Source organism: Homo sapiens, chromosome 10, assembly GCF_000001405.40.
Source record: "Homo sapiens chromosome 10, GRCh38.p14 Primary Assembly".
Taxonomy (NCBI): Eukaryota; Metazoa; Chordata; class Mammalia; order Primates; family Hominidae; genus Homo; species Homo sapiens.
Genome location: NC_000010.11, coordinates 110,876,317 through 110,891,406, shown reverse-complemented (window position 1 = coordinate 110,891,406; position 15,090 = coordinate 110,876,317). Strand labels below are relative to the sequence as shown.

The following is a 15,090-nucleotide window of genomic DNA, read 5'->3' as shown; positions in this document are numbered from 1 at the left end:
GAGACAGAGTCTTGCTCTGTCACCCATGCTGGAGTGCAGTGGTGTGATCTCAGCTCACTGCAACCTCCTCCTCCTGGGTTCAAGCAATACTGGTGCCTCAGCCTCCCGAGTAGCTGGGATTACAGGTGCGCACCACCATGCCTGGCTAATTATTATGTATTTTTAGTAGAAACGGGGTTTCACCATGTTGACCAGGCTGGTCTCAAACTCCTGGCCTCAAGCAATCCACCCGCCTCAGCCTCTCAAAGTGCTGGGATTACAATCAATTTTCTTTTAAAACATGCATATGGGTAGTGAATGTCCTCACAAAAATCTAACACTCTGATCTGCTCTAGTGCTCATAATTCATAACTCATTATTTAAGACTATCTAGTTTTAAATTGCTCATATAAAAGCGTATTTATTGAATAGCTAAAACACAGAAAATCTCATTTCAACAGCATTTGAAAATTATTAAATAATACTATAAGAAAAAGATTTCAGGCATTCCTTTGAAGTTCATAGATGGCTTGCTTATAATTATTCATGAAAGCCATTTTAACAGACTCATTTTTTAATCATATAATTTATAATAAAAGGTTATAAAGCCACATATTAAAAAAATTATTTCATTTTCCAATTGCAGCTGTAAGACCGAACTTAATTTTTGTCCATAAAAATACCAGCTAGTAGCCACAATTTATTTCACTCAGAGGAATACATATAAATTAAGTTAAAAACAATACCCAATCATTACCTCTTTAACAAGGTGATTGACAGATTGCTGCCCACCTCCAGAGCCCCACACACTATCTTTACGCTTTCCACCTTTAGACATACTCAGAAGCACGGTAGCCTTATCCAGAGCAGCTCTACAGAGAAAGAAAAAAATTTAAGTTTGATAGCTGGACATACCTAAAGTTTACTAAATTAGGGATAAAGCTGACAAAATCCTATATGCCCTAAATCTTTCACATAACATAAAAGCAAAATAAAATTCAAAACACTTTTTCAAAACAAAAAGGAGCAAAAAGAAGTTGATCCTCATGTTAATATTCTCATGCTCTATTTCATTTCTCATTCAAGAAAAATCAAAACACATTACAAAATAACTGATCTACACTGAGAAGAAACACTTCACATATAATTAACTTTCACCTAGATCCATGCCTTCCTACCCAGGGACACCATTCCACTATGATGTGAAGTAGCCCTAGAAAATTAAGTTAATATATAGACCTGAGGAAAACTAAGACATGGCTGAGTCCAAGTCTCCAAGAAGTTAAGAAAAATCAAATAGCATAACTCCCAAATATCACATTTAGTTATACCAAATATCATATTAATTATACTAAATCACAAGAGTGAAAAAGATACTTTCTGACTAAGATTTCTACAGTAGATAAATACAAAATAAAACTATAAATCAGGCCTCTCTTCTTAAGGTTATCCATCTTATTAGAATATTAAACTATTACACAATGCTAGAACCTGAAAACAGAACTTAAAGATCTGTCCAATGGTTTTGTTTCATAAATAAAGAAACTGAGGCCCAAAGAAGAGTGGCTTGACATGAAGGTAATTAATGATTTAGCTAAACTCCAGAACTTTTCCATTATAGTACTGTCCTCTTCCTGGTATATCATGCCAATAGTCTCTCCATTTTAACAGTGGAGAATATAGAGAAGTGACAAACAGATGTACAGAGTGTCTGATTAACACAAGTGTCATTTCAATAGGATCCTGTAGAATTTTCCCCTATTTTGAAATTCTAAGTAGGAAAAGTGATTTACTTACCTAGCCTGCACACAATCTACAGTTCCTTTGTAACTATCAATATAGGTATTACATAAAATTCCATCTCCAACAGCTCTAGCAATAAACTGGCCCACCAACTGTAAAAAGGAAAAAAAAAAGAGCTATAAAAAAAGTTAAATAACTTTTATAGGTCACAATTTCTAAATACATAAATGATGAAGATTAGCTGAAGTACACAGTCAGTACCTAAAAGATGCTGGAATTTTTTTTTAAAAAAAAACCTATGTAGTACCTGTTATGCCTGGCATACACTCCCACATCTTAACCTTCAAGTTAAGTGCCAGAGTGGGGGCCACATCTGTTTTGCTCACTAATGAATCCCTAACACCTTGCACACTGCCTGAATACATAGCATATGATCAAATTTTTTTTTTTTTTTTTTTTTTTTGAGACAGAGTCTCGCTCTGTCGCCCAGGCTGGAGTGCAGTGGCACGATCTCAGTTCACTGCAACCTCCACCTCCCAGGTTCAAGTGATTCTTCTCCCTCAGCCTCCCGAGTGGCTGGGACTACAGGCGCACACCTGGCTAATTTTTGTATTTCTAGTAGAGACGGGGTGTCACCATCTTGGCCAGGCTGGTCTCGAACTCCTGACCTCGTGATCCGCCTGCCTCGGCCTCCCAAAGTGCTGGGGTTAAACGAATGATTTAAGGTCAAGTGACGTCCTCTCTTCTTAAAACAAAACAAAAAAAAAGGACTAGGTTCTCTCAAAAACTAATCAAAGGAATTTATCTTGTGGAGAAAAAAAGTTGTATAGAAATAGTTGAAAGTATGTTCACAGCATTACTTATTATAAAAACTGGAAATTGGTGTCCAAAAATAAAGGTATGGTTAAATGGTATACACATAAAATGGTATACTATGTGGCCACAGGGAAAGATATTTACCATATTTTATGGTATGAGAAAAATCAAGTTTATAAAATAGCATAATGGTATGATTCCATTTTTTTAATTTTAAAAAATTAAGGATTTATAGAAGCCATACATTGATATATACCCACAGAAAGGAGAATGGAAAACTTAACACCAGTAGCAGTTTTTGCTGGCCTTTCTTCTTTCTGGCTTTTATTTTTCAAAAATTCTACAATAAATATAAACTTATGTAATCATTTTCTTAAAGTATGTGTATTGGTATAAAAGGAAAAAATGTCTGCATTAGAATCACCACTTAATATCTCATACCGAGTATTGTCTGTCATTAAGTTTAACAGAAACAGCATTTAGGAACTGACATGCCTATATTCTATTTCTAAATTAATGTTTTAAGTAAAGTGATTTTACCTTGATTAAAAACTTTTGACAATAGCAACAATTTCACATTTTCAAAGCTACAAAAGGGAAGAGTCTTATTTATGACTTCTTATAATAAACATTAGTGAAGCATTCAATCATAACCTACATTTTTTAAAAATCTTAGCTAATAAAACAACTACATATAACAAAGACTATATATATGGCAAAAAAAAAAAAATTACCTAAAAACTATGCAGATCATAGGGGAAAAGTACAAGATAACATTAAATTTATAGCATGATGAAGACCATGTTTAAAAAACAAAAGAACTAGGAAAAAATACATCAAAATGCTAGCGGAATATTTCGGTGTCGTAGGAAATGTTGGCCATCCCCTTCCATCTACTAAAATTTCCTAGGAGTATACATTATTTCCACAATTAGGAATATAGTAGTGGGAGGGAATGAACAAAAAGAAGAATCATACAAACCTGTGGTGCTCTAGGAGTATCCAGTGCTAATTCAGGTAGATCTTTCAACAATTTATCAAATGATTTTTCCACATCAGTTGTGCTCATTACTGTCCCACAAAGGTCAGAAAGAAGCTTAGATGTCATCTCTCTATGACTAGCCTTCCCCTCCAATGCTAAGGATACTGCCAACACTGGTACTCCACTTTTCATTTCACCAAGATTTAAATCTCTTAACATTTCCTGTTCAAAAAAATAATTTAAAAACATTTTAAAAGTGTATCACTACCTATAGTTCAATAAAATTTTATTTTTGAAAAATTGAGCTTTTATCTATATATCTCTACGTCTCACTCTTTGGAAATAATCAAAAGACCCAGTCATGTTTTAGAAGATAGGATAAACACACCTTTCCCTGTGCATAAATCAGACATTGATCCACTTTGTCAAGCTTTAACTGCCTTAACATCGCTAAATTCAAAAATGTGAAATACCTTTAAAATACTGTCATGGGTCACGACACAGATACATTCTGAGAAATTCACCATTTAGGTGATTTCATCAGTGTGCAATCATTATAGAGTGTACTTACACAAACCTAAATGGCAGAGCCTACATGTAGGCTACATGGTATAACCTATTGCTCCCGGGCTACAAACCTGTATAGTATGTTACTATACTGAATACTGTAGACAACTGTTAACACAGTGGTTACCTATCTAAACACAGAAAAGATACAGTAAAAAGAGTATTATATGAGACCAAAGGTATATATGCAGTCTGTCATGGAAACGTCATTATGCAGCTCATGGCTAGTTCATTAAACTACATAATATTGCTGAGATTGGTATTAGGAGTTAACTAACCTGCCTTACAATCTATTATTACTATAAATATTGTTTTATGAGAATTTGTGGAAAAATTCATTTTAGATTATCATAAGCTATTTATATTCTACTTTTCTTCAAAGACTTCTCTTGAAATAAAAATTCACTTCACACTTTTGTATCAAGTTTAAAATGAGATCTTAAACAACTGTTTTTAAATGGGATTATTGGTTTAAGATTCTGGGGTAAATTTAAAATTTCCTTTTAGAAATATAATAGCTGCAGCTAATACTTATTGACTAATGTATCAGGCATTATAATAGCCTCTTTAGTTATATTATCTTATTTAATACTCAAATAGCCCTTTGAGTATTAAATTATCACACCTATCATACTCAAAGGAGAGAGGGCACACAGCTGGAGTAGCCAAACTGAAAGTGGAATAAAGGCAGTCTGACTCTAGAAGCTAAGTTCTAATTCAGTTAGAGTGCCCTCCTCTTTAATGAAAGTTTTCTTAGAATCTTTAAATCATGATATACTACTAAGAGAGTGCCAAAACTATTTTCACAGCCACGTAACTGGTGTCCTTGTTAGTAATCTCTTCTCACTGACTGCATTTCATCTTCCTTGACCGCACTTTAACAACTAATCCACTACCCTCAAACACAATACTCCTCTTTCCTGGAAAACTATCTTAACTGGCGAACTCCTCAACATCCTTCAGACAGCAGAGAATCATCTCTACTATTACTCTCTATTTTATGCTTTCCAAACAGTACTCAGTTAACAGATACATAGTATACAATTGATCTTATGCTAGGTAGATTAACAAGATTTCAACAGTCCCTGCCCTCATAGGACTCATGGAAACTTTTCCTCTATAACAGAACGTTTCACGTATTTTAATAATCTGTTTACATATCATTTCTTTCACTTGACTGGGCTTCAAAAGGGCAAGAATCACCTATTACAAATTCCTCCAGATGGTATGCACTGAACAAATATTTGTCTTATATTCAAATCCTACAAATCCAAAGATATCAAACCTCACAGTATCAGACAAATCATAAAAGTCCAGTCTAAATTTTAAGAATCTAAATGATCAAAGTCTTCTAAAGAGTTACAATTGTATTACTTTAATTTGATAATCCTAACTAGACCAATGGTTTTATTTTATCCTAGATTTACTTTATGAACAAATCATGATTATTCTCATGGCTTCTGTATATTCTTTTTCAAATCTTTATTATTTGTGGGGTTTTTTTTGGACAAAGTACAAAAAGATTTTATCCTACTTCTGAACATACGTGAAATAAATGTCAAAAAAATGAAACTATGTCAGGCATTCTTAACTGAGATCCCTGAAGAGGTTTCGGGGGGCGTCTAGAAGTGCCCTCAAACTGCTAAAATTATATTTTATAAATTATAAAAACAGATTTTATAAATTCATATACATTACAAATTATAATTATAAAAATTATAAAAATATTGTGTCATTTTTCAGAGAACAAAATGGCACACAGCTCTCATCACATCCCAAATATATAACTGTTTTAATGTAATGAGATTTTATTCCATTTCTTAGAAATTCACTTATGCAAAAGAAAATGATTAAATTTATTCAGTGACCCAAGATCATTGTAGATGTATTTTGCTTATAAAAGATGTCTTCTCTCCTATATTAAATAAATTATACTTGCAACTTTAAACCTACCGCAACTTCATTAGTATCTCCATGCTCAAAATATTCCTGTATGATTGGTGTTAAAGTCTTCTCAAATGCCCTTTCATCCAAAGGCAAAACTACAGTTTCATAAACACAGTTCTCCTTTGAGGGGAAAAGGGAGTAAGAGTTATAAAAAACAAAATGCAAATAAACAAGTGAAATTGTTGTACAATTTTATATTCTAAGTGGTTAATAATCCCCACTTAGCACAAGACAAAGACATGCTACATACATTGATCGCATATAAAAATAGAATCTAGGCCAGGCAAGGAGACTCATACCTATAATCCCAACACTTTGGGAGGCAAAGGCGGGAGGTTCACTTGAGGCCTGGAGTTCAATACTAGCCTGGGAAACATAGCAAGACCCTGTCTCTACAAAAAAGTTTTAAAAATTAGCCAGACATGGTAGCTTGCCCCTGTAGTCCTAGCTACTCAGGAAGCTGAGGCAGAAGGATCTCTTAAGCCCAAGAGTTCGAGGCTGCAGTGAGCTATAATTCATCACTGCACTCCAGCCTGGACAACAAAGCTAAAAAATAATAATAATAAATCATAATAAAAATAGTAGAATTTATATGTCACTGCTCTTTTACAAAATCAGAATACAATAAGCCAATATATAGATTAGAATCATTAACCACAGCAAATACATAATTTGCTCCCAACCCCCATGTCTTCTGTTAATTTTTTCTCTCAAAATTTTTATGTCTCTCTCAAAACCAATCTTTTAGTAATCAAAAAGTTTCATGATGGCTTCCTATCATAAATGGTGTTTTAATTAAAATTTCACTTTAAAAAAAAATGAAGCAGGAACCAAAGCCTTCACGATTAGCATTATTATAATAAAAAGTATAACACAAAGATCAATGTTGTAGTGACAGAAAAAAAATCTCTAAGGAAAAAAGCACTGTTCAATTGAAATTTCAAAAAGAAAATTAACATCCATCATCAAACCATTCCTCTCTCCCCATGCTAAAAAAGCTCTGAAATGTAGTGCCCCCTTATCTACAAGGGGTATGTTCCAAGCCCCGTCCGAGGATGCCTTAAACCACAGATAGTACCGAACCCAATAAATACTGTTTTCTCAATCCGATAACCTAGACAGCTACCATGTGACGAATGCACGAGTAGTGTATACATTGCGGATACACGCTGGACAACGGAATGGCTCACATCCTGGGCAGGATGAGGTGGATGAAGCTGGACAGCAGGAGATCTCATCACACTACTCAGAATGGCATGCAATTTAAAACTTATGAATTACTTCTGAAAGTTTCCACTCAATATTTTCAAACCACATTGGACCATGGGTAACTGAAACTGCGGAAAGTGAAACCACGGATAAGAGGGGACTGCTATATTTACAACTTGTGACTGGCTTCAGCCTAAAAACATATACTTGAAAGATTAATACATTTTTAGCAAAGATTCTACAGTACTTGAATCCTACTAGTTTCATATTTTTCATGTTCTCTTAGAAATATTTCCATATCTATTAGTTAAAACACTTAAATACATACATACAACACACAATAAAAACAACCTAACACATACTCTTAACGTTTTCCTGTCTAAAATTTCCATCACCGTGTCTCACCTTGTGCAAAGACAAATTTTCAAAAAACATAATCAAAACATTTGGGATTTGCTTCAAAATAATCCAAAACAGGGTGGGGCAAAGGGGCCAATAGAAGACGGAGAGTAAATGGAATTAAACAAGACTGCCTATGAGTTTGTAATTATTTAAGTTTGTAAAGCTAAGAGAGGAGTACAAGCAGATTATACTATTCTACTTTAAATTTTTTCCATTAAAAAAAATAAAAAATTCACTTCACAATCTATTAAAAATTTACATTTTCAGCATTATCCCTAAAAGAAAGATGCGCATGTCCCCAAAACAAAATGTATTATATAGTTACCATTCTAAACAGTAATATTTAAAAGGAATCTAATATCTGTAACTCATAATATTCAAAAGAAGATATTCTCAATTATCATTACTATAGAAACAAACTATATTAACAGAATTTACTGAAAAATGGACAACTTAATAATCCTAAGTGAATTTCTAAAGAGCTATTTTTGACTCACTACAGAAACCAAGTGAAAGTTATGCATGTATTACTGTCAGTTTACTTGGTTTCCTAATCCAAAACATTTATACATATGATTTGACACATGTATGAGTAAACTACAAACATGAAGTCAAAAAAGTTCATAAACATTTTAAATATTATGAAAAAGCAAAGCACTGATACCTGGTCATCATCATAGTTAGGATCTTTCACATCCACCTCCTCCACATCATACACCTGTCCAGGTGTACCCCAGACACCTTTGCCTCCTGCACCACCTGAAAAAGTTTAGCATTGAGAAAGAAAAAACACAAAATTCATCAATTTGTTGAAATCTAAAATAAAATGTTCCGATGTTAAACAACAGCTAAAAAAAAATTGTATTTAACGTGTTAGTTTTTTTCCAGTTTTCTTCCCCTACTGGTTTTTGTTCAGACCACTCTTTCAATATTTCCAAAAACATTAAGTTAAAATAGCTTATGAAGTTAAAAACTAAAAAAGCAGATGCTTTAAAATAAAAGCAAAAACAAATAAAGATAAAAAAATAGCTATATTGAGGACCTCAAAGGAGATGATATTGCAGCTGAGCTCTAAATTTTATTCGACATTTCTTTGAGACTAAGACAAAAAGAAACATTCTGGGCCGGTAAAGCTTAGCATAGAAAACTCAACAAGGGAAAAATTATTTAACAAAAAAGGACAGTAACCACCATCAAATATTTTAAGGTCAAATACAGTACTCTTTAAATATTAAAGTACACATTAAACCATACAACTAGCAATATGTTATAAATATAGAAAAGAATTCTAACTGCTTTTAAGCATTAACAGCCCTGAAAATTCTGTTTTCTAAATACAAAACAACCAAAAGAAGCTTAACAATTCCAATTTTCAAAGTTGCTTTTCTACATCAACTTACTGAAATGTTTTAAGGACTAATGTACTACACTATTTTTTAAAGAACCTTTACAATGTCACCAACATTTCTGTTTTTGGAGGTTTTTATTTTGTACCAAGTATATCCTTGCCATCAGACCAAAACAGAATCTGACAACCAGGTTTCATTTTGATATAAAACATGATTGCAGAGGCATTTAACAAAACTAATTTTTGACAGATCACAAAAACATTTTACAAGAAACCTAGGCTATAAATTGAAGTTCCCACCATTCAGAAGGTGATGAAATCGTCAGAAAACTCTTATTCAACAAATATTTGCCTACAGTGTACTAGTCACTATTTCGGGTACTAGAGAAACAGCAGTGAAACAGACCAATCTACTACAGAACCCAAAATAAAGAGCTAAAGAGAACTCACCGTGAGATCTAGGAAAACATTAAAATTCAGATCTAGACGTTATCAATCAAATGTATATTTATTAGTAGTAGTAATGGACATAATTATATTAAATAAGTATGATGGATTTCTGACTCCTTTCAAACTTAGAGAATATACGTAAAACTCGTAACAGTGAAAAACATCAGTGTATATTTTGCTGGAAATAAATCGTTAACATTCTGCTCAAGAAAATTAAATCTACTCAAACAAGAAAAAACATCAACCTAAAGAAAAAGTGAGATGGTTCTCACATTATTACTAAGTAAAAATATATACAAACTGTAAAGCCTTACATTTTCACTTTTTGAATCTCTCTCATTCCTAGAACAAGGAAAGTGTAGTACAAGAACCAGACAATTTTTTTCCACTTGTTTATCTTCCATTTGTTGGACATGATATATACCAACCTTTCTTTGGTAGTCCCCTTCCTTTCCCAGATCTGGATCGCCTATCCAGCAACCTTCCCTTTGGACTGGTTGGCACAGTTAATCCACTTCTAAGGGCGTCACTCCCACTGTCGCTGACCGAATCGCCTCTGCCAGAGTCCCGGGATGAGTTTTTCCTTAGTCGCCTTTTTGCCTTGGCATTAATTCTAGCTTCGTTAATGGAGGATGCTGAAATCCAATTTCCATTTATTTCATTCTTTATTTCCTCAGTCCCAGCATTTTCTTCATCACCGGAAAAGAGAGAGTCACTTAAGTTATCAGGATCTTAAAGAGAAAAATGAAGAAAAAAATTCTAAGTATTTTAAGTATCTACTGTTTTATAGATATAGTGGTAAGTTAGATTAGGTTGAATCACATGACATTACCATTTTTGTAGGTAAATTACAGTCACATATTGGGAATTTCATCTACTTCAATCTAATAAACAACTAAATAAGATTACTTTTCACATTATCAAGGAAAGTAAACCAAGGCACTGAATTTTAACAAAGCATGTTTGTTTCTTACCAAAAACAAACCAAATTTGTTTGTTTTTACCAAAAGAAGCATGTTATTTCACGTTTAGATCATAAAATCTATGCTAACAGCAACACCAAATATAAAACCCTTAGACTTTTATGAGCTAATTGGAGATATTAAGAAAAGACAAAGCATCTTGAGAAGAGAGATAAACTAATATTTATAGAATGCCTACTATTAGGCACTGTGCTAGACACTCTATCATTTATTTATGCACAAGTTTGGCAGTTAATTATTATAACATTGAAGACAGATAAGGAAACTAAGGCTGAGAATGTTTAAATGATTTGCCAAACGTCCCATAACTAGGTATAAACACTTAAGAACTATTAGTAATCCAAAAGAGAATGAAAGGCATTTAGCAAATAATCGCATATGATTGTTGAGCTGAACTGCTGATGCTTTACTGCCTCAAGACAAAGTTTGCTTTCAAGAAAAGCCAACATCTCAAAGTCCTAATTCATCTCCCTAAACTTTTCTCCTATTACTTACCATCCTGTAAATCTTCCAGCCTATATAAAATTGATTCTTCTGAAAGAGATCAACATACTGGAGTTCCCAGTAGAATGTCGCCCTCACTGTTATTTTCAGTTATCAAAATCCTTTAGGATATAGCCCAAGTCTTACTCCCTGCATTAAAACTTCCCTTACAACTCTAGGTACAGGAACACTAATTGCTCACATACTATTCATTCAACACGTCATGGAAATCACTTTCTTTTTATATAGCAGTCTTTTTCTTCCAACTAAGTCATAAGCTTCAAAGGAGAAACCACAACTAGACTGTATGTCCTTCTTTGTATCCCCATCACCTAGCAGAGTGTCCTTCATACTCAAATTCCATGGAGATCAAGTGGAGGCACTTGGCTTTGCCCTGAAAGCTCTTTAAGTCAGAAAGGCTACTGAATTAGCTACCACTGGGCCACAGTTTTGTTCATTATTGTTAACGCAAATCAGAGCTGAATCACTCAAATCATTTTCTATATGCCTAAAGATAATTATAACATGTCAGGTCTATGTGCATGGGCTTTAATATGTTTTAAGACATGTTGAAACCAAAAATTTTCACCAACCTATAAAAAGCATACATGTGTTTAAATCTTTACAATTCTTGACATACTTAGGAAGGTAGGAATGTTTTGTTTTAAACAAAATCATCAATTAGAGCCAAATTATTTCACTAGTCTCATAAGTAGTCTCCCTGCCTCCAGTCTTCAAACTATACTGAATGAAGACTGATTTTCTCAAGCATGCCCTCACTGAAGATCCTTTAAAAGTAGTCCCATTATGTCACAAAAAATGTAAACTTTTTTTTTTTTTTTTTTGAGACAGCGTGTCGCTCTGTCACCCAGGCTGGAGTGCAGTGGTGCAATCTCAGCTCACTGCAAGCTCTGCCTCCCGGGTTCACGCCATTCTCCTGCCCCAGCTGGGACTACAGATGCCTGCCACTACGCCTGGCTAATTTTTTTGTGTTTTTAGTACAGATGGGGTCACCGTGTTAGCCAGGATGGTCTTGATCTCCTGACCTCGTGATCCACCTACGTCGGCCTCCCAAAGTGCTGGGATTACAGGCGTGAGCCACCGCACCCAGCCAAAATGTAAACTCTTTACCTTGTAACTTAAGGTCCTTTATGATCTTGCCCCTGCTTACCTCACCAGAATCACTGCTAACTACTCCCACACTCAAATTGTCAGAGCTTAAGTTAGATATCATAGGGAAGAGATGGGAGGGATTCATTTGGCAGAAGAATACTGAGTATATTACAAAAAGAGAAAGTATAAAGTAGGAAACCGCTAAGAAAATGCTTCAGTAATTCAGTCACAAGCTAACTGGTAAAGAGCAAGGGTAGTAACTGTGGGATAAATAATAATGTTACACTTTTAAAGAAAATAATGAAGGACTTTTAAGCAGAATGTATCTAGGATTAAAGAGAAGTCAAACAATGCCTTAAAAGTTTTCAAACTGGTAAGAAGCCGGTGTTAGGATGGTGTGTTTGGGACATCATCATAACCATCAGTAGTAATTATAGTCTTAGTGGAAGTAGTCGTAGTACTGTTTCTTTCATCATTACCATTACTATTGTCATCTATTAGATACCAGGTTCCACACTACCTGGTACCTATTAGATTCCACACTACCTGGTACCTATTAGCTAAGGCACTTTACATATGTGGTCTATAAGCTTCAAGAGCTCTAGAAAGAAACTGTTTATCCTCATTTTACAGAAGGAATGTGTTTCACAAGAAGTTACATATCTAGAAAGGATTATGGCTAGAATTCAAACCCACATTTTTAATCCCATATAACTACAGAAAATACAAAACTAGAATACAGCAGAGTATTGACAGCTAAAGAGACGAACAAGGGCGTGAATGTAAAGAGAGATAAACAAAAATGATTAAGTGGAAGGGGACAGAAAGATCAGGATCACATAAATTAGATGACATTTTCGTGTAAGAGTGGATGGTTGAGAAAAACATTAAACATCTACCTGTAACATAGTGCTTTCATCATTGTGCCATTAAGGTGAACCACAAAACTGGTCCAGAAGACACAGGAGTCAGAACTATAATAAAATGTCTTAAACTGTCCCTTGGAGTATTCAATTTAAATACATCTATTTCCCATAATCGAGTTTTCTTTTCTTCAACAATTTTAACATCCTTTCAAGTATGTTTGTGTCTCTGCAGCAGTAAACATTCTCTCAGTATAATTTATATATTTGACCTTATCATTTTTAACCCATGTTTGTATTAATTGCTTTATATTTTGTTACTCATACTCACCTAACTGTTGGAGTTCCATAACCCCTATTGAGCTGACTTTAAGAAAACCAAAATTAAAATGATAAGCTGAGTACAGAATGTGATTGACTTCAAAATTGTTTCCTACTGTGTACTAATTCCCTCTTTCTGAATTCTGATATCTCAATAGTAACCACTCCAATTGTATATGACCACAGCACCAGAAAATCACATTTTCAATTACTGGTGTCCAATGAGTGGCATAATTAGAATAACATTACCACACTTTCATGTATTACATACCTAGTATGTGCTTCACAGACTTAACACACATATACAATATCTCACTAAATCCTAATTATAAATCTATACAGAGGGTATTTATATCCCAATTTTATACATGAAAAAACTGAAGGTCAGAATAACCTACTTCCTCCAAGTAAAAGAGTAAGAGTGTGACTTGGACTATTTGCTATGTGAAGAATTTACTACAAAGAGGGTCTATCTTAGGCCTATTCAAATATTGAAGAACAAGTCTTTTATTTTAAAGCAGTGCTGGACACAAGCACCAAGAACAGGGTTAGAACTAGGTCTTATTGTAGTTAGGAAACAAAAAGTACACATTTTAAAGCTGTGTTTCTATTTCTAATAGAAATAGAATGCAAGCCATATAAGAAATTTTAAATTTTCCAGTAGCCACATTAAAAAGTAAAAACAGGTGAAATTAATTTAAATATATTTTATTTAATCTAATATAACCATATCATCTCAACATGCAAGCAATATAACAAATTATTGAGATAGTTGACCTTCATCTCAACTCAGAGTAGCCACATTTCAAGTACTCAACAAACACATGTGGCTAAGCACAGTGGTGCACACGCCTGTAATCCAGCTACTGAGGAGGCTGAAGAGGGAGGATCACTTGAGCCCAGGAGTAATAACCACATGTAGCTAGTGGTCACCATACTGGACAGTGCAGAAAAGAAGCAATTACCTATATGTAAAATATATTCTAAACTGTATTACCATCCCCATCTCAATTAAGTAGGTACATATTATCCATTTATAACCCTAAAGCATACTCATACAGCTATTGTATACAGCAGCACAGAAATGATCATTAATTACATAAATTTTTTTCAATTTTTTACCATACTTTAAAAAGATCTGTAAATAAACAATGGTAAAGAAGCTTCAAATTCAACATGTTTGTTCAGATCAAAGAAAACTATGTACATTGTAAACAATAGTGAGTTAAGTCACTGAGGAAAGAAAGATGTAGTATTTAGTTACGAAATACACTTAAAATGACAGAAAATAGCTTTCAATATTAATAAAATTATAAGACAAAGAATTATCCAAAGTATACCAATATGAACTGTTCTCACTATTCAGATATTACACAATTCTAATTAACTTTTTGGGAGATTATTTTTAAAACTATAAATACATTTTAAATTATCTTGAGTTACTCACATTTGGTCATCTATTCCACAAAACTGTTCATTTTTATGATAATAACATGCTATTGAAGCACCATGGAGAATTAGGGAAAATACCCTAGGTAATTTAGAATATAAAAATTATTTGTTAGGAAAGATACCAAAGATACCAGTAAGTTTATATTACAGAAATCACTAACTAGCCCATGTGAAAATAAGCAGGCTCACTATTCTTCTCTATTCTGTACTATATAACAGAGAATAGGAATATGTGGAATGTGAAAGGATAGGCAGAAAAATAGGACATGTAATGAATTTCCATGAAAATAAAAATCACAAACTTGACTTTAAAAATAATATAGCCTGTTTTCTTACAGCATGAATAAAAGAGTATTTAAAGATAGTTTTTCTATCATGTTTTTATAAAATATGGAATGGTCTGAAGCTTCCTCACAACATAGTCAAGCTTCA

The 15,090-nt window shown here is 33.6% G+C and overlaps 1 protein-coding gene across 3 annotated transcripts in view; it reads right to left on the bottom strand.

Moving 5' to 3' along the window:
• PDCD4 (programmed cell death 4) overlaps window positions 1-15,090 on the bottom strand; it is a 28,079-nt gene that overhangs the window by 8,600 nt on the left and 4,389 nt on the right. The window contains exons 3-9 of one of the 3 annotated variants that reach the window (NM_145341.4): window positions 14,654-14,737; window positions 9,872-10,174; window positions 8,310-8,404; window positions 6,041-6,154; window positions 3,521-3,742; window positions 1,777-1,874; window positions 737-851 (exon numbers count right to left, since the gene is read on the bottom strand). In NM_145341.4, coding sequence (NP_663314.1) covers window positions 737-851; window positions 1,777-1,874; window positions 3,521-3,742; window positions 6,041-6,154; window positions 8,310-8,404; window positions 9,872-10,174; window positions 14,654-14,663 — 957 coding nt within the window. In that variant the 5' untranslated portion in view covers window positions 14,664-14,737. The remainder of the gene's footprint in view (window positions 1-736; window positions 852-1,776; window positions 1,875-3,520; window positions 3,743-6,040; window positions 6,155-8,309; window positions 8,405-9,871; window positions 10,175-14,653; window positions 14,738-15,090) is intronic. The other 2 variants (NM_014456.5, NM_001199492.2) reach the window with 2 other exon arrangements.